Source organism: Homo sapiens, chromosome 2 (assembly GCF_000001405.40).
Source record: "Homo sapiens chromosome 2, GRCh38.p14 Primary Assembly".
NCBI lineage: Eukaryota > Metazoa > Chordata > Mammalia > Primates > Hominidae > Homo > Homo sapiens.
In genome coordinates, this window is record NC_000002.12 from 44043745 (window position 1) to 44062972 (window position 19228).

Consider the following 19228-nt stretch of genomic DNA (forward strand, 5'->3'; position numbering starts at 1 on the left):
ATATATATCTCGATTATTAACTCTATCCCAGGCTCCATCCCCGGCTCAGTGTGGATAACTCTCCCCTCAGCAGCCGAATAAATCAGACCATTCTTCCTCTCCTGTAGAAGTTAGGTCTGCATGGAAAAGATAGCACTTACACTCATTTCTAAGAGGAAGATGTACTTTAAGTTCTGTATGAAAACATTGAGTTCCATGGTATACACTGTTGGCATGAAAACAATGAGACTTTTAATTGCTCCCGAAACTCTAATATATATATTAGAGTTAATAATTAATATATAATATAATAGATATTATTATATGTAATATATATATATATATATATATATATATATATATATATATATAAATACTTGAAAATAGTCACCTGCCTTTAGACAGTTGTAAGCCACAGGGGAAACTCTTTGAATTCCCACCAATAACCATTTGGCTTAGAACGACTTTCAGCTGTTTCTAAAAATCAAATTCACCCTGAAACGAGGGTGGTTTGCTCTCACCTCACGATGGTGGGGAGAAGGTGGGCAGCAGTTAAATATGCCGTGGGGCTGAATGTGACCAACACGACAGTGCAGGGAAAGCTCCTTTGTCCCTGCGCGGCCCAGACTGGGACGCTAGATGGCAGGCTCACCTTCTAGATGGAAGCTTCCGGCTCCTTCTAGAGGGAAGCAGCCAGCCCTGGCAGCCCGGCCTCTGCTGGCAGTAGCCACACACTCCTGAGCAGTTCCCAGGGGCCTCCAGTGGGCTCCCCAGGGAGGGTGTGACCGATCCTCAGTGGAAGGCCCCAGAAGTGTCTGATGTGAGAACAGGGAACGCCTGCCTGTCTCCTGCAGCTGCAGTGGGATCAGGGTTAGGGCCCACTTGATCCCAAACCTCATGGTTTGTGGCTATGGTGACTCCACTGGGCTGCCAGCCACACCCTCCTCCCACCTGCCTGTCCCCGTATGGGGGTGAGAAATGTCTCCAGCTTTCTTGGGCTGGCCCAAGGTTCGAGGTCTTTCAGGATGTCTGAAACTTGAGGTTACGCTTTATGCAACCTATTATCAAATAGAGGGTCTGGTGGGGTGTGGTGGCTCATGCCTGTAATCCCAGCACTCTGGGAGGCCGAGGCGGGCAGATCACCTGAGGTCAGGAGTTCTAGACCAGCCTGGCCAACATGGCGTAACCCTGTCTCTAGTAAAAATACCAAAAAAAAAAAATAGAAAAAAAAATAGCGGGGTGTAGTGGTGCGCACCTGTAGTCCCAGCTACTCGGGAGGCTGAGGCAGGAGAATCACTTGAACCTGGGAGGCGGAGGTTGCAGTGAGCCAAGATCATGCCACTGCACTCCAGCCTGGATGACAGAGCGAGACTGTCTCAAAAAAAAAAAACAAAAAAAACAAAAAAAAAAAAAACAGAGGGTTCTACTCTGGGTGTGGGCACTGCTGAGTGCCAGGAAACACTGCTAAGTGCCAGGAAAGAAATGTACAAGCCTGGGCTGACCACTGGGCTTGGGGTCTGTGTTTTCATTAATGTTCACGCCTCAGAGCATTCTTCACCCTTCTTCTTTTGGCTGCCCCTGCCCTCCTCCCATCCTACCCAGGGTTTACCAATAAGTACAAGTTCTCTAAAGGGCAAGAACCTTCAAGGACTTGCTTCTGGATTCCTGTGCCTGCTGCGTGGTGAGGCTCAGTGAATGTCTGCTAAATGAGTGATTGATTGAATAAATTAATGTTGGGATCCAGAAATCATCTGGCTTAGCCTCCTCCTTTTAGAAAGGGTATCAACTAATTGGAAATGTATTATGTTTTCTAGGATGCCTGCTTTCATCTTTACCCTCCTTCCCCTCTCCCATTTGAGATCCCACTCCCAGGGTCTCCATTTGGGAGTGCCTGAACCTTTCTTACATCTAGCTGAAATCCCACACACTGCAATTTGAGACTGATCTTTTTTGCTCTGACTTCAGTGTAAGTCGATGATGGAATTGGGGAATAATATTGTTATGGGCTGAACTCTGTCCCCTATAAATTTTCTACTGGGAAATTTGAGGTACTCCCAGTATCTCAGAATGTGATGGTATTTGGAGACAGGGCCTTTAGTTAAAGTGGGGCCATTAGAAGGTGGCCTAATCCAGTCTGACTGATGTCCTTGTAAGAGGAAATTTGGACTAAAAGATACCACAGAATCACACACAGAGGAAAGACCAAGTGAGGAGACAGCAATCGGGTCAACATTTGCAAGCCACGAGTGGAGGTCTCGGAAGAAACCAAACCTGCTGACACCTCAACGTTGGACTTCCAGCCTCCAGAACTGTGAGCAAATAAGTATCTGTTGCTTAAGCATTCCCCCTCCCCCAAGACTGTAGTATGTTGTTAGGGCAGTCCTAGCAAACTAAGACAAATATGACAGCTACATGATTATGCATGATACCTGATTATGATAGAAAGATACATGATTATAATAGAATATAATAAAAATGCTATGATACAGAATACTTTGCCCCTTTGTCGGCATGTCCAGCATCTATAGAACTATTATCCAGCTGATGTGATGGTAACTGAGGTTTCCACCCCCACCTCTGGCTGCTGGCTCTTGCCAGACAGGCAGAGAGGAGGGAGAAAGACCCCTTAAGAAAGGAGAGATGTTCATAGCTTTAGTCAGCGTGGGCTGCCTGCCTGTCTAGGTTTTTTTTTTTTTTTAGAAAACCAGGCTCAAATGTGATGAAAAATAGGTTGGTACAGCTCCCAGGAGAGGGGGTTACCTAGTAGGACAAAAGCCAAGCTCCCCGAAGAGGTCAGCACAGCCTCAGTGGCCCAAAGGTTGACACATCAAGATATATTAGGTTTGTGGAGAGAGAAAGGAGCAAAAGAGGCAGCTTGTTGGAGATTAGATTAGACCAGAGAAGACTGTGTAAAGGCTACACAACGGGGGGACTGAGGAGATGGGACGAAAAGAGGGAGGGCACAGGGCTGGCTGAGGAAACGACAAAGAGAAGCTGAAACTTTGAAGCAAAATCAGCCCAGTGAACACAGAGCACCTTGGGGTCAGAGATGAGCCAGGGGAAAGCTGTGAAAATCAAGGCAATGTCTCTCTCCTACCTGGGTCACATTTAAGTGGTAGGATTTGGTCTTTTGAGAACTGACTAAAAGTAATTGACTCTCTTTAAAGTGGAAATTCTTTTTTTTTTTTTTTTTTGAGACAGAGTCTCACTCTGTTGCCCAGACTGGAGTGTAAAGGTGCAATCTCAGCTCACTGCAACCTCCGCCTCCCGGATTCAAGCGATTCTCCTGCCTCAGCCTCCCAAGTATCTGGGATTACAGGCACCCACCACCATGCCCAGCTAATTTTTGTATTTTTTTTTAGTAGAGACAGAGTTTCACCATGTTGGTCAGGCTGGTCTTGAATTCCTGACCTCAGTTAATCTACCCACCTCGGCCTCCCAAAGTGCTGGGATTACAGGCATGAGCCACCGTACCTGGCCTAAGGTGGAACTTCTGGAGCACACTGAGAGTGAAGGGGGAGGATGGATGGAGAAAGCTAAAACTGAGAACCTGCTCTCCTGGACACGTAGCCACAGGACATTTCTGGGGCACAGTCAGACCCTCCCTTTCCTTATGCTTCCAGAGACCATTTCTCTCCTCCCGTAAATGTCACAGTAAGATATCATTGGGAAAAAGAGAGAAATTCCCCAACAGGAGCACATGTAGAGGTGAGACCATCATCCACAGACTGTCTCCCGCCTGGCACAGACCTGCAAGAAGGAAATCAGGGAAAGGGGGATAAAATTCAGATGTCCCCTTTGTCCATCCTCTCTCCTCTGCCCCCAATTTCCACCAACTTAGCCTGGCTCAGATGAGGAAACAAAGAATGGGCCTTGGCTCTGCCTCTCAGTGCCCTTGGTCTCTTGGTCCTGGATTTAGAGAAGTGACCACGCTCCCACCCCCAATGCCCTTTCCCTCCTTCTCACCATATTCCTCACTCAGGGAAAGGGATGGAGGAAAACCTGGTCTTGCAGCTCCAACCATGTGTGCACGGGTAGCAGAGTTGGGAGGTTGCACTTTAGTTTTAGTAATACTTGGGTCCCTAAGGAAAAAGAACAAATCTCGAAAAGCTTAGAGATCATCAAAATAACTCCCCCACTTTCTTCATAAAGTTGTTGCATTAGTCCGTTTTCATGCTGCTGAGAAAGACATACCCAAGACTGGGTAATTTATAGAGAAAAAGAAGTTTAATGTACTCACAGCTCCACGTGGGTGGGGAGGCCTCACAGTCATGGTGGAAGGTGAAAGGCACATCTTATATGGCGGCAGACAAGAGATAATGAGAGCCAAACAAAAGGGGAAAATTCCTTATAAGATCATCAGATCTTGTGAGACTTGTTTACTACCATGAGAACAGTATGGGGGAAACCAGCCCCATGATTCTATTATCTCCCAGTGAGTCCCTCCCACAACACGTGGGAATTATGGGAGCTACAATTCAAGATGAGACTTGGGTGGGGATGTAGCCGAACCATATCAGTTGTTGAGACCCACAATGGGGAAAGGACCTACTGAAGGTCACACAGGACCGATCATATTGTCCAATAGGTTTTCCCAAATATATCAAAGCCATGTAGTTCATTTAAAAACATGTCCCATAGAGGCCAGGCACTGTGGCTCACACTTGTAATCCCAGCACTTTGGGAAGCCAAGGTGGGAGGATTGCTTGAGCCTAGGAGTTTGAGACCAGCCTGGCAACATGGCGAAACCCCATTTCTAAAAAAAAAGTACAAAAAATTAGCCAGGTGTGGTGGTGCTTGCCTGTAGTTCCAGCTACTTGGAAGGCTGAGGTGGGAGAATCAACTAAGCCAGGGAGGGCCAGACTGCAGTGAGCCATGATCGTGCCACTGCACTCCAGCCTGGGTGATGGAGTGAGACCCTGTCCCAAAACAAACAACAATGACAACAAAAACCTAACACCATGTCCCATAGAGCAATAGCTTAAATCCAGTCTATTTTCAAAAGGCCAGTTCTTGAAGCACATTATAATCCCCATAACTACTTTATGCCAAATAAAATTGTAACATGCCAAGAAAATAGATGGAATCTGCTCCCATGTAACTGCATCTGGGTGAATGTTCACCTCTGGCCTTGGGTTTTATAAGGGACATCAACGTGGTAGATGAGGGGTGGCTTGACTATGGTGGTGAGGAGTTCAGAAACTAGGTCATACGAGAGCACAGAAGAGAAACTACGGAAATCCAGCCTGTAGAAGAAAATACTGAAGAGAACCATGATGATGAGCTATAGCAGGTGAAGGTTGAATGTAGGAGAGCCGTGGCAAAACTAGAAGTCAGATTCGGATCAAGTGTAAAGAACTTTCCAGGTTAGAGTGTGATAGAATGAGATTTTCTTTCCTCCTCACTCCTCTCTGGAAAGGAAAGGGTCTTTGGTAAGATGTAACTGAAATTCACAAGAGAAAGGCTGTGACCTTGTAGATGATTCCCTCTGAGGGACCCAGAGCCACCTCAGAGACCTCAAGGAACTGCAGTCTTTCCATGGTGGAACCAGCATTCTGTGCAGAGGGCAGATAAGAAGATGGCAGAGCAGGAGAGGAGTGGAGAAAGAGGGGCTCCAGAATCCATGAGTGCTGTGGTACTGCTGAAGCAGCGGGAGCTGGTGGTGCAGTTCAGTCTCAGCTGGAGGTGTGCAGTATGTGAGTGCTCTGAGTACAATGACGTTCCAGTGCTCTCTGTTCAGGGACATGGGAGCCATTTTGCTGGGCACATAGATCTGAAGGTTGGATTGGGGTTTCCTTTGTGCATCACGGTTGCAAATGCAGCAGTCGATATCACGCACACAATATTTTTGAATGGGTTGATGGAGGTTGCACGTTGAGTGCCCTCAGCCCTTTTCAGTGGAGGAGAGTGGAGAGGGACTCAGTGGCAGTAAAGGCAAGGCCACCGTAGGGGAAGAAACACAAAGTACTTGCACCGTCGTTTTACGTACGTTCTCTTTTGCCTTGAAGCCTGGCTGCAGCATGTAGTTGTGTAGGTTGTGCACTGCACCACTCCAGGAGGCATTATTTACAACCTGTGCAACTCTAACTGGCAGGGACTATGTAAAAGCCAATAGCCAGTCCCAAATTGCCATTCAAAAAGACTCATTGCCTTGAGGGGGACAACTAGCCTTTTCACAGACATTGGGATGAGATTAACAAGATTCCACCCACACCTCTGATGAAAGAGGAGTGGCCCTTCCAGTTATTTTCCCACTGGAGAAGACCTTCAGGAAAATCACAATGTCAGTTGTTCTCGAGTTCTAACTTTTTTATTTTTTTGAGATGGAGCCTCACTCTGTCGCCCAGGCTGGAGTGCAGTAGCACAATCTCGGCTTACCTCTGCCTCCCAGGCTTAAGCAATTCTCATGCTTCAGCCTCCCGAGTAGCTGGGAATACAGGCACGCACCACCACGCCCGGCTAATTTTTGTATTTTTAGTAGAGACAGGTTTTCGCCATGTTGGCCAGGCTGGTCTTGAACTCCTGACCTCAAGTGATCCACCCGCCTCAGCCTCCCAAAGTGCTGGGATTACAGGCGTGAGCCACCACCCCCGGCCTCAAGTTCTAACTCTTGATATTTCTATTTTATTTTTTATTTACAACACTCAGAAGCAACTTAACCAGAATGATATGCGGATGGAAAATGTTGCAGACTTGGACCCCAAAGTATAAGTTATAGGCCTAATTTTGGCCTAATGTGATTTGAAATGGGAAACCATAGTTGCAAATAGCCCTGAATGTGATTAAACCCCAATGGGGGTTGGAAATGATGGAGACATGACAGATCCCTTGCAATAGCTCACCCCACACAATAGGCTAATGAAATTACGTGCCCGACACACAGAGTATTTTCTGAAAACTGAAAATGCATCTCTGCAGTTCATATGCTGGGTATTTTTTTCCTATGGAGAACAATAAATTTCGAAAAATTACTTGTTATATCTTTTTAACTTGCAGGAAGAACTGATTTGCCAGTTCTGTTTCCTAGAGAATATACAGTTCTCCTGAAAAAACGTCCACCTTCCTTCATAGGTTAATAAGAGAAATCTGGAAGGAAGAATGATAAATTGGCCAGAATGTTGGGGAAGGAGAAAGTTTGATGTGGACAAAGTCACAAGACTGGGATTAAAATAAGGCATAAGCTGGCCTGGTTTTCACAGAAACTTGGGGTGGAGATTCCTTCAACCACTGAAAGCTCTAGAGTAGACTTAATTTTGGTACAATCTTGACATATTGTGAGCAAATGTGTTTTGAAGACAGTTTTTACACCCCATTTTAAAAAAATCCTTTTTTAATCCTACTACTTTATCTCATTGATCTGTTTCCCTGTATTGCAAAGTTTCTTAAAAGTTCACCATTCCTATTGAAACCACTTCAATGCAAGCTTTTGCCTCTACGACTTCACAAAAACCATGCTGCCTAAGGTCACCAATGGTCACCATGTAATGGAATGTATAATGGAATGTGATAGTTCTTAGTCCCTCTCTTCCTTTTCCTGTTTTTTTTTTTTTTTTTTTTTTTTTTTTTTTTTTTGAGAGGGAGTCTCACTGTGTCACCCAGGCTGGAGTGCAGTGGTACCATCTTGGCTCATTACCACCTCCGCCTCCCAGGTTCAAGCGATTCTCCTGCCTCAGCCTCCTAAGCAGCTGGGATTATAGGCGTGCGCCATCACGCCTAGCTAATTTTTGTATTTTCAGTAGAGATGTGGTTTCACCATGTTGGCCAGGCCTACCTCAGCCGCCCAAAGTGCTCAGAGACCAGCACAGTGCCCACTGGGGTGGACATCTGACCTTCGTGTTGGGAAATGCCTAGCAAGATAGATTTGGGTCAGATGGTGGAGGCCCTTGAATGCCTGTCTCAGGAGTTTGGCCTTGATCCTGCATTTTCCAGTAGGCTTCAGCTTAAGGGGAGTGGGAGCAACTATGAAATTCACTTAGCATAGTTATCTCAGCTGCCTGCCAAGTAGTCTATTTAGTCCAATTCACAGGCAGAGCTTTGTTGAGCATTGAGAAGTCACTTGCTCCATATGAATCCAATCACCACGGCAGGCACACCTCAAAGAGGGAACACACAGCAGCCTCTGAAAAGCCTGCCCCATACTTCAGCAACTCAATTCATGAATATGCTTTTCCAATGTCTGACGCTGCTGCTTAGCAAAGATATTATGGGACAAATCCTTGATTTGACCTTTTGTATCTCTATCCATCCCACTGTGCTAAAAGCAATTATGTGCATCTTGTGTGTGGCTGTTGGAATGGGGAGTCACTTAGCGATGGGTCCTTTTCACACTCCAACTGTCCTCTCGCTCATTCCTTTCCCTCTCTCAAGCTGGCCCGCACAGCAGGCCTCCTCGGCTGCTTGGCAGAGTCTAAAATGGCATCAGGGGGAGGCAAGCAGGGATGTAAACAGGTGGAAACAGTTCCTGTCATGGTGATTAGCATTCTTCTTGGCCAGGCACAGCTATGGATGAAAGAATGGGGCCACAGGGGGAACAGGGAGGAGGAAGCTGCCCAGGGAGCGGGAGACAGAGGAGAGATGAACTCTTTGTCAAAGGCACAGACAACTTCCTGCAAAAACTTCCTAGGAAACAAAGCAATCCCAGTGTCAGGGTGGGTAGTAGTGGTCTCTGCTGGGGACAGATCACTTGTCACTGTCTTCTTTGCCTGTACTAAGTAGACTCGTGTATGCTTATGTCTGTGTGATTAAATACGAAGATTGACGTCTGTGTATGATAGAATGTACAGCTATGTCTTTGCGTATCTTACGTTGATAACAATGTTTGAATGTCTGTATAATGCCTGTGTGTTATACATTTATATACTGTGTCTATATACTTATATGTATATGATGCCTATGTCTATATATTTATATGTATGGGTGCCTCAGAGAGCTCATGTCGGTGTGTGTCTACATATGTGTTAGAGTGTGTATATGGCGCATGAATGCATGCATGACTGTGCGCATGTCATTTCCAGATGTGTTGAATTCCTTTATGTATATGCGTGCGTGGGTGTGCATGCTGGAATGAAGTACTAGAAAAGGACTGAGTGGGAAAGAGCTCCCGTATCCTCTTGCTGGAGCAGTACAGCATGACTACAGAGGACACTCCAATCCTGTCCAGAGAGAGGAGCCCTGATCTTGCTAAATAGGATGAGGGTCTGGATCTTCAGGAACTGGTATCGTTTACTCAGTTCCCCACTTCCCCCAAACGCCAGGCCTAAAAAGTAGGGGGAAGACCCCAGAGCTAAGGAAGATATCCAGCAAGACAACAGAGGGAGAGAGTTAAAATGCTGGAGGCAAGACTCTGGAGGAATTGGGGGAAGATCAAGGATTTTTTCTGAGCTTTTGAATATAAATAATTTACCATGGGAAAGTGAGCCGGACTCTTGGGCAAGAGGTAAATGCAGATATAATAGTGAGTAAAGTGATCTGCTCTCAGCTGAGGCTCACTCCTGATTGAGTTGGGACTTGGCTGCAGAAGGAGAGTAAATAAAACCGGTGCTTGGTGGGGAGTTATCTGAGCTGACCTAGACCAGCACTGCTGTTTGAAAGAGCTGAGGACACAGGAGTTGGTCCCAGGTAAAGTCACCTGATGGAGTCACCATTGACTCTGGAAACTAGGGCAGAAAGGAGAAAATTAGCAATGTCTACAGCCAGAATTATGCCTTGTTACCCAAAAAACTTCCTTGGCCAAGAACTCTGGGAGGCTGATGTGGGTAGATCGCTTGAGCCTAGGAGTTCAAGACCAGCATTGGCAACATGACAAAACTCCATCTCTATAAAAATACAAAAATTAGCCGGGCATAGTGGTGCATGCCTGTGGACCCAGCTACTGGGGAGGCTGAGTGGGAGGATGAATTGAGCCCACGAGGCCGAGGCTGCAGTGAGCTGTGATTGCTCACTGCACTCCAGCCTGACAGAGCAAGACCTTGTCTCAAAACAAAAACAAAAACAACAAAAAACCTCCCAAGCACAGCAGATTTTACTGCAATTGGCAGCTTTCTGCCATACCAACTTCCAGCCATGTGTGACCTGGCATGATCTTACCACCTATTACAGATCACCTTTGGGCCACTCAGGTTATTCTCAAAGTAAGAAGGGAGTGATGAAACCCCAGGGTCCGGCCATTCACTTTAAAAATCATCCAAGAGGCTCATTGAGACAGGCCTTTTATGATTACTCATTAATTGTATGCACATTAAGAATGGAGATATAAAATAAAAATTATCCATGAGTGCCTGTAATCCCAGCACTTTGGGAAGCTGAGGTGGGTGAATCATGTGAGGTTAGGAGTTCAAGGCTAGCCTGGCCAACATGGTGAAAACCCGTCTCTACCAAAAGTATAAAAATTAGCTGGGCGTGGTGGCAGATGCCTGTAATCCCAGCTACTTGGGAGGCTGAGGTGGAGGCTGCAGTGAGCTGAGATTGCACCACTGCACTCCAGCCTGGGCAACAGAGCAAGACTCTGTCTCAAAAAAAAAAAAATTATCCATGAGGATATAACCTGGCAATAACCAACATTTAACATTCTGACAGATAGCTTCCCAGGCTTTTTCCCACCTTCCTTTGTTTTCTGTGTATATAGCTATTCACATGTACATATATATCTATAAGCTATAACTTATTTTCTTCACTTATTAATACATCAAATATCTTTTCGTATCAATACAAATATACATTATATTTATTTTATTTTATTTTATTATTTTAAGACAGGGTCTCGCTCTGCTGCCGAGCCTGAAGTGCAGTGGCCCCATCACAGCTCGCCGCAGCCTTGACTTCCCAGGCTCAAGCGATCCTCCCAGCTCAGCCTCCTGAGCAGCTTGAGCTACAGGCATGCACCACCATGCCCAGCTTTTTTTTTAATTTTTAGTTTTTGTAGAAACAGGCTGATCCTGAACTCCTGGGCCCAAGCGATCCTCCTACCTTGGCCTCTCAAAGTGCTAGGATTATAGGGGTGAACCATACACTGTCAGTTTATTTTATTTGTTTGTTTGTTTGTTTGTTTATTTATTTTTGAGATGGAGTCTCCTTCTGTTGCCCAGGCTAGAGTGCAGTGGTGCCATCTTGGCTCACTGCAACCTCCACCTTCCGGCTTCAAACGATTCTCCTGCCTCGGCCTCCCAAGTAGCTGGGATTACAGGTGCCTGCCACCACACTCAGCTAATTTTTTGTATTTGTAGTAGAAATGGGGTTTCACCATGTTGCCCAGGCTGGTCTGAAACTTCTGACCTCAAGTGTTCCATCTGCCTCGGCCTCCCAAAGTGCTGAGATTACAGGTGTGAGCCACTGCGCCCAGCCTTATACACTGTCATTTTAAATGGCTGCTAAATATCTCTTTGCATGGGCACATTATAATTTATTTAACAGATCTTCATTTGTTAGATATTTACGGTTTTTTCTTTTTTTTTGGTCTGGATTTTGAAACTTGTGAATAATGATAATCCATAATTTAAAACAATAGTTCTTTTATAGTCCCCTAGGTGGTACTGGTGGCAAAGGTGACATTCGAAGCAGAATGTTTGACTCTGGGGTTTTATCACCCCCTCCTCAACTCGAGAATAATCTAAGGAGGTCTGAAGGTGACCTGGGATGATGATAAGATCATGCAGGTCCCATACCACTAGCTTGAAGCTGCAGTTGCAGGAAGCCACCAGCTGCCATGCAATCTGCAGTGTTTGGAGGGTTTCAGAGTGATGGATCTTATCTGATTGTAGACACTGCTAACTTTCTCTAGGAAGCAGCCTTCTTGTTCTGGTTCCATGCACAATGGCAGCATCACTGAGAACCCTATGGAGAACTACCACTCTCTGCCTTCAGCCCTTGCAGACAGCAGAGAAGGCCAGGGCACAGAGCAGAGACTTCAGCAGACTTGCTCAATCTCGGCAAAGAGTTTCATATAGAGGGTGTTTTTCCTGTTCTGGATCAGTCTGGTTGCTATTTCTACCTGGATCTCCTGAAATTTGTTTTGCCTGCTTTGGCCTTCAAGTATTTTCTGAACAGAAGGAGGAAGCAGAGATTAAGAGATACCACAGCTCTCACTCTTCCAGACCCAGGTGAACGCTTCATGTCTCCATAAATCCTCCCAGGCAGGGGGCGGGATTTCTCCGTCTTGGCTCCCACACCTCAGCCCGTACTGCTCTTACCACAGGACTGTCTGCACCTGAGACTGAGAGCCTCTCAAGGCCAGGGACTAGATTCTACTTACCTGCTTGCACGCAACACCTGGCCTAGTGTTGTACACATGGCACAATGCTTAATGAGTGCTGCATAGAAGGGTACGTAGCAGCACGAACCCACCCCAGTTCCACTGCATCATCATTCCAGCCAACCCCCGATGACCAGTCCCCTCTGCTCCTGCGGACGATCTCAGCTAAGTAAGCCTGTAGACTCTGAAGCCAGGGCATGTGGGTTCAGATCTCTTCTCCATTTACTAGTATGATCTTGGGTTACTCACCTAACATAGCTGTGCTTCAGTGTCCTCATCTGTCAAATAGAGGTAACAATAGGACCTACCTCATTATTAGGCAGGGTGAAGATTATTTGGCTAGTGTGTGTAAAGCACTAAGAGCAGTAGCGGGTACACGGGAAGTTCTCAGTCATGGCTAGCTGTGGCCATTCTTTCAAAACAAAAGAAGTGTTCCTTGAGTGAGCCTTATAGCCAACCTTGGAAGACTTGGCTTCTTGTGATTACATCTCTTCTGACTGTTTAAAAGTAGCTCTGCTCTTTCAAGTTTCTCTCTTCCTCTCTCTAGGGGCCTAAACCATGGCTCTCTGGAAGCCATTAAGCATAGCATGACCTGTGCTGTCCATGTTTATCCAATGAAGAGTACCTGGACTTTATTACTCTACTGCATCAGAGGTTTGTTTTTTTGTTTGTTTTTTTTTTTTTGAGACAGGGTCTCACTCCTGTTGCCCAGGCTGGAATGCAGTGGTGCCATCACAGCTCACTGAACCCTCGACTTTCTGGGCTTAAGTGATTCTCCCATCTCAGCCTCCTGAGTAACTGGGATTACAGGTGCTTTTGTAGAGATGAAGTTTCACCATGTTGCCCAGACTGGTCTCAAACTCCTGGGCTCAAGTGATCCACACACCTTGGCCTCCCAAAGTTCTCAGATTATAGGTGTGAGCCACGGCACCCGGCCCAGAGGTGGGTCTCTCTCAAGCACATGTTTCAGGGATTAAAGGATAATCTTTGTCCCCTGACCTTACACAATCAAAATCTGATGCTTGGTTCCAAACTCACCTTTGTAATTTCCCCCCAGGACCCTGGAAGCCCCATTCATGCCAGTAGGGTGTTGGTGGCCTATAGTGACACCAAGACTGTTTGAGGTAGACACAGTGACTCATTGGCACATTGGCTTTCATCAGAAGAAAATGACACATGCTCTAAATTGTACATGGAGGCTTGGGTATGGGCTCATGGAATTGTTCACATTCTCAGAGTCCTTTGTAATATCTAGTACCTTACATTTCTTAAAAAGAGCTTTTCTGGGGCCGAGCATGGTGCCTCATGTCTGTAACCCCAGCACCTTGGGAGGCCGAGGTGGGTGGATCACTTGAGGTCAGGAGCTTGAGACCAACCTGGCCAATATGGTGAAACCTATCTATGAAAAGTACAAAAAATTAGTCAGGCATGGTGGCAGGCACCTGTAATCCCAGTTACTCAGGAGGCTGAGGCAAGAGAATGACTTGAATCCCGGAGGCAGAGGTTGCAGTGAGCCAAGATTGCGTCACTGCACTCCAGCCTGGGTGACAGAGTAAGACCCCACCTCAATAAAAAAATAAAAAATAAAATTTAAAAATTGACTTTTCTGGAATTAGAAAAACCGTGTGGGTCTCAAGCAAGGCAAGTCTTTCACAACATGTGGAGGAGGTAAACTCTGTCCCTAGTACATTCATCTGTTCATTCAAGCCCTGTTTACTGATTCATGCTGTATTTGTTGAGTGACTATTATGCTGGGCAGTGTCATAGCCAAAAGTCAGACATGGAACTTGTGCCCTGGGGGCTCACAGTTAACCGGAGGATACAGGCAATACATGTAGTACAGTGCATAATATGCTCCAATGAAGGAAGTACAAGGAACTATGGGGATATGAGGCTGGGCCATCAAACTCTGACTGAGATGAGTGGGGAAGTGTTCCTGGAGGACTGATGTCTGAAATGAAATCTGAAGAATGAATAGGAGTTAGGCAGTCAAAGGAGTGGGTGCAACATGTTTAAAGCAAAGGTCAGAAAGCAAATGAGAGCAGGGAATGGGGAAGGGCATGAAAGATGTTGGGTGTTGCACGATTCTAGTGTTACAATGGCAAGGGTGATGAGAGATAAAGCTGGGAAGGCAGGCAAGGGCCAGAGCATGACGGGTATTGTGAGCCAGGTAAGGAACTGGACTGTTCTCCCCATTCCATAAATATTGTCCTGTGTCCCATTCTTCCTGATTCCCAGTTACTGTCAGCTGATAAGGCCTAATACTCACTGGGAAGGTGGGGAGGTGCTGCATTTTAGAAAGGACCACAGAGGAGAAGTAAAACATTTTGCCCAAGACAATGAGACTATAATGGTGTAATGACAGGCAGTGGGATGGACATTCCGAAAGTGGGGAATTTGACTGAAATCCTCTTCAAGCAGCACTTTTTAAGTAATTGGCTGCTGCTGAGACTCAGGAGACTGAGTTCTTTGTTTTCGTTTTTCCTAAGAGTCAAGTGGACTAATTTTTGCCTCGTAAGAACACAGAAGCCTTAACTTTGTGCATTGTGCCCAGGCAGTAGCCAGCAAGCACACAGGAGCAGTTTAAATAGACTGAAAGCAAGGGGACATGTGTCACAGGGCCTCTCACAGCAGACAGCACAGAGTAGACACTAAATAAACACTTCCTGAACTTGACACCCTTTTGACTAGCCATCCTCAGATGCTCACTGGCCCCTCCCGAGCACCAGGCATAGTGTGCAGTAAGTGGTACTAAGAAGTACAAAGACAAATTAAGACCCAGGAGTGTGTGGTCCAGTTCAGGAGTTCAGACATCTCCACTTTAAATGCACATGGCACCACATGGCAGTATTGAGGCCCAACAAATGGATGGCTGAGACAAGCAGGGCTTTGGGTGCTGTCTTCTGGAAAGTTTCCTGGAGGAGACAGGACTTGAGGAGGTATATTAGTCTGTTCTCATGCTGCTATGAAGAAATACCCAAGACTGGGTAATTTATAAAGGAAAGAAATTTAATTGACTCACAGTTCTGCATGGCTGGGGAGGCCTCAAGAAACTTACAATCATGGTGGAAGGCACCTTTTCATAGGGCGGCAGGAGAGAGAATGAGTGCAAGTAGGGGAAATGCCAGACGCTTATAAAACCGTCAGATCTCGTGAGAACTCATTCACTATCACAAGAACAGCATGGAAGTAACCACCCCCATGATTCAATTACCTCCCACCGGGTCCCTCCCACGACACATGGGGATTATGGGAACTACAATTTGAGATGAGATTTGAGTAGGGACACAGCCAAACCATATCAGTCTGCCCCTGGCCCCTCCCAAACTTCCTGTCCTCATATTTCAAAACACAATCATGCCTTCCCAACAGTCCCACAAACTCTTAACTCATTCCAGGGCACATTGGCTCACACCTGTAATCCCAGCACTTTGGGAGGCAGAGGTGGGTGGATCAACTGAGGTCAGGAGTTTGAGACCAGCCTGGCCAACATGGTGAAACCTGTCTCTACTAAAAATACAAAAATTAGTCAGGTGTGGTGGCAGGTGCCTGTAATCTCAGCTACTTGGGAGGCTGAGGTAGGGGAATGGCTTGAATCCAGGAGGTGGAGGTTGCAGTGAGCCGAGATTGCACCACTGCACTCCAGCCTGGGTGACAGAGTGGGACTCTGTCTCAAAATAAAAAAAAAAAAAAGAAAAAAAAGTCTGAGTTCATTCCAGCATTAACCCAAAAGTCCAAGTCCAAAGTCTCATCTGAGACAAGGCAAGTCCATCCTGCCTATGAGCCTGTAAAATCAAAATCAAATTAGTTACTTCCTAGATACAATGGGGGTCCAGGCATTGGATAAACACACCCACTCCAAATGGGAGAAATTGGCCAAAACAAAGGGGATACTGGCCCCATGAAAGTCCAAAATCCATAGGGCAGGCATTAAACCTTAAAGGTGCAAAATAATCTCCTTTGACTCCATGTCTCACATCCAGGCCGTGCTGATGCAACAGGTGGGCTCCCACAGCCTTGGGCAGTTCCACCCCTGTGGCTTTGCAGGTTACATCCCCGCTCCTGGCTGCTTTCACAGGCTGGTGTTGAGTGTCTGCAGCTCTTCCAGGCGCATGGTGCAAGCTGTTGGTAGATCTACCATTCTGGGGTCTGGAGGATGGTGGACCTTTTCTCACAGCTCCATTAGGCAGTGCCCCAGTGGGGACTTTGTGTGGGGACTCCAACTCTACATTTCCCTTCCTCACTGCCCTAGCAGAGGTTCTCCATGAGGGTTCTGCCCCTGCAGCAAACTTCTGCCTGGACATCCAGGCATTTTCATACATCCTCTGAAATCTAGGCAAAGGTTCCCAAACCTCAGTTCTTGACTTCTGTGCACCAACAGACTCAACACCACATGGAAGTTGCTAAGGCTTGAGGCTTCCACTCTCTGAAGCCATGGCCTGAGCTGTACCTTGGCCCCTTTTAGGCACAGCTGGAGTGGCTGAGATGCAGGGCACCAAGTCCCTAGGCTAACACACAGCAGGGGGTCCCTGGGCCTGACCTAAGAAACCATTTCCTTCCTCCTAGGTCTCTGGGCCAGAGATGGGAGAGGCTGCTGTGAAGGTCTCTAACAGGCCCTGGAGACATTTTCCCCATTGTCTTGGTGATTAACATTTGGCACCTCGTTACTTATGCAAATTTCTGCAGCTGGCTTGAATTTCTCCCCAGAAAATGGGGTTTTTGTTTCTATTGCATCAGCAGGCTGCAAATTTTCCAAACTTTTATGCTCTGCCTCCTCTTGAGTACTTTGCCGCTTAGGAATTTCTTCTACCAGATACCCTAAAACATCTCTCTCAAGTTCAAAGTTCCAAAGATCTCTAGGGCAGAGGCAAAATTCCAGCAGTCTCATTGCATAGCAAGAGTCACCTTTACTCCAGTTCCCAAGAAGTTCTTCATCTCCATCTGAGACCACCTCAGCCTGGACTTCATCATCCTTATCACTATCAGCACTTTGATCAAAGCCATTCATCAAGTCTTTAGGAAGTTCCAAACTTTCCCACATCTTCCTGTCTTCTGAGCTCTCTAAGTCTCTAGGAGTAAAAAGAGTAGAGAAAGGGGAGGTGACACCAAGGTTCATTAAGGTATATTGACCTGCAGGTGATGAGAAGTCAATATTGATTTCTAGTGGAAAGTTTTACTGTGAATCAAAATCCAAAGTACAAAAGAGTTGTTTGATGTTTTCTATCACAATACAGCTCACTGATGTGTAGGCTTGGCTATAATTTCATTTTGCCTCCTGGGGCAAAGTTTATAACAAGTACATTTGAAGGCAGAAACATGTTCTTTTCCCTAGGTGGGTTGAAAGGGTTGCCTCAGGTCTGGCTGTGTCAGTGAGGGCTGTCATGCAAAAAAGGAAAACACAGGTAACCAATCCTGCGTCTTCCTCCCCGTTGCTCTGCGCTGCTCCGAAAAGTCCCCATTCTGGCTCCCTTTTTCTTCTTTTTTTTAAAAAAAATTTAAAAGTAAACTTTAATGTCAAAAATGAAAACTTGGGGAGGGCAGAAAGATCACACACACGGCAGCCACTTCACACTTGGAGGGTTGCACAGCAGCCGGGCAGAGGTGCTCCTCACTTCCCAGGCAGGGTGGCCTCTGGGCAGAGGGGCCACTTCCCAGACGGTGTGGCGGCCGGGCGAGGCGCTCCTCTCTTCCCAGACGGAGCGGCGACTGGGCAGAGGCGCTTCTCACTTGCCAGATGGTGGGGCGGCCGGGCAGAGGCTCTCCTCACTTCAGAAATAAGTCCCAGAACCAATGTCTCTCTCTGTTCTTTGCCCCAACCTCCCTGTCGCTCTGGTCCTTTTTCCCGAAGAAGCAATAGAAGGGACCCTCTCTGGAATTTGCTTATCTGACTTCTAAGAACGCTTAAATGCAATTGTCTTAAGACTCCCTCCCTGGGGATCTCATCAACTAACCAGGAATGATCAACCATGAGAGAAGAGACTCAAGTCATCACCATGCCGAGGCTGACTTTTCCTCTGTTATGCGGGTAGCTCCAAGAGATTACCCGCAGCGGGGAACTTTAGTTGCATAATAAGACAACCTTTGTTCCTGTGAAGCAACCTCTGTTCCTTACGTTTCTGTACTGGTGGCCTCCCAACGCCATTCGTTCTCCCTAATGATTTACTACCCCTTCAAAGAATTGTCTACAATTCCCATCTCCCCCCTCCCTTATGAAAAAAGGGGAGCTTCTGGACTGCACTGTTTTTTGGGTGATCAGTCTGTAATTTCCTCCCATGCATGTTAATGTTTTTATGCCTTTTCTCCAATGAATCTACCTTTAGTCAGTTGGTTTTCAGTGAATTTTCAGACACTTCCCTGGAGGAGACATGAGGGCTTTAGGTGGCAACCTAGGGAGGTTACAGGGAGCTGCTCTTGGCAACTATAACTGTAAGGGAGTAAGGACTAAGCAGAGAGAGAAACTGAGCTCTGGCACTGTTAATAAAGGCCTCCATTGATCCCGTGGGGAGCTCTGAAGCTGGGATAGTCTTTTAGAATTGCTCTCAAATGGCTGCGTGCAGTGGCTCATGCCTGTAATCCCAGCACTTTGAAAAGCCAAGGCAGACGGATCACTTGAGGTCAAGAGTTCAAGACCAGCCTGACCAACAGGGTGAAACCCCGTCTCCACTAAAAAATACAAAAAATTAGCTCAGCATGGTGGCATGCGCCTGTAATCCCAGCTACTCGGGAGGCTGAGGCAGGATAATCGCTTGAACCCAGGAGGCAGAGGTTGCAGTGAACTGAGATCGCAACACTGTACTCCAGCCTGAGTGACAGAGTGAGACTCCATCTCAAATAAATAAATAAATAGTTCCGAATTGAGGCAAGGGAGCTGAATCCTTGTATCCCTATTTTGACCACTCATTAGATGCATTCCCGTCCCCCCTCCAGGAGGGGTATACCTGAGAAAGAACTCAGCTATATGACTTCTGTGCCCAACATTCCTGGCAGATCTAAAGGGCAAAT

General features: G+C 46.5%; 3 annotated features.

Moving 5' to 3' along the window:
* Positions 510 to 559: an enhancer, noted in NCBI's record as "active region_15682". NCBI's record gives its function as "activates an Ori minimal core promoter by ATAC-STARR-seq in GM12878 lymphoblastoid cells {active_cell/tissue: GM12878}" and the evidence as "EXISTENCE:reporter gene assay evidence [ECO:0000049][PMID:35858748]".
* Positions 16575 to 17110: an enhancer, noted in NCBI's record as "NANOG hESC enhancer chr2:44287458-44287993 (GRCh37/hg19 assembly coordinates)". NCBI's record gives its function as "activates a minimal SCP1, AML or CMV promoter by ChIP-STARR-seq in naive and primed H9 embryonic stem cells {active_cell/tissue: H9 hESC(naive and primed)}" and the evidence as "EXISTENCE:reporter gene assay evidence [ECO:0000049][PMID:30033119]".
* Positions 17946 to 18519: an enhancer, noted in NCBI's record as "OCT4-NANOG-H3K27ac-H3K4me1 hESC enhancer chr2:44288829-44289402 (GRCh37/hg19 assembly coordinates)". NCBI's record gives its function as "activates a minimal SCP1, AML or CMV promoter by ChIP-STARR-seq in naive H9 embryonic stem cells {active_cell/tissue: H9 hESC(naive)}" and the evidence as "EXISTENCE:reporter gene assay evidence [ECO:0000049][PMID:30033119]".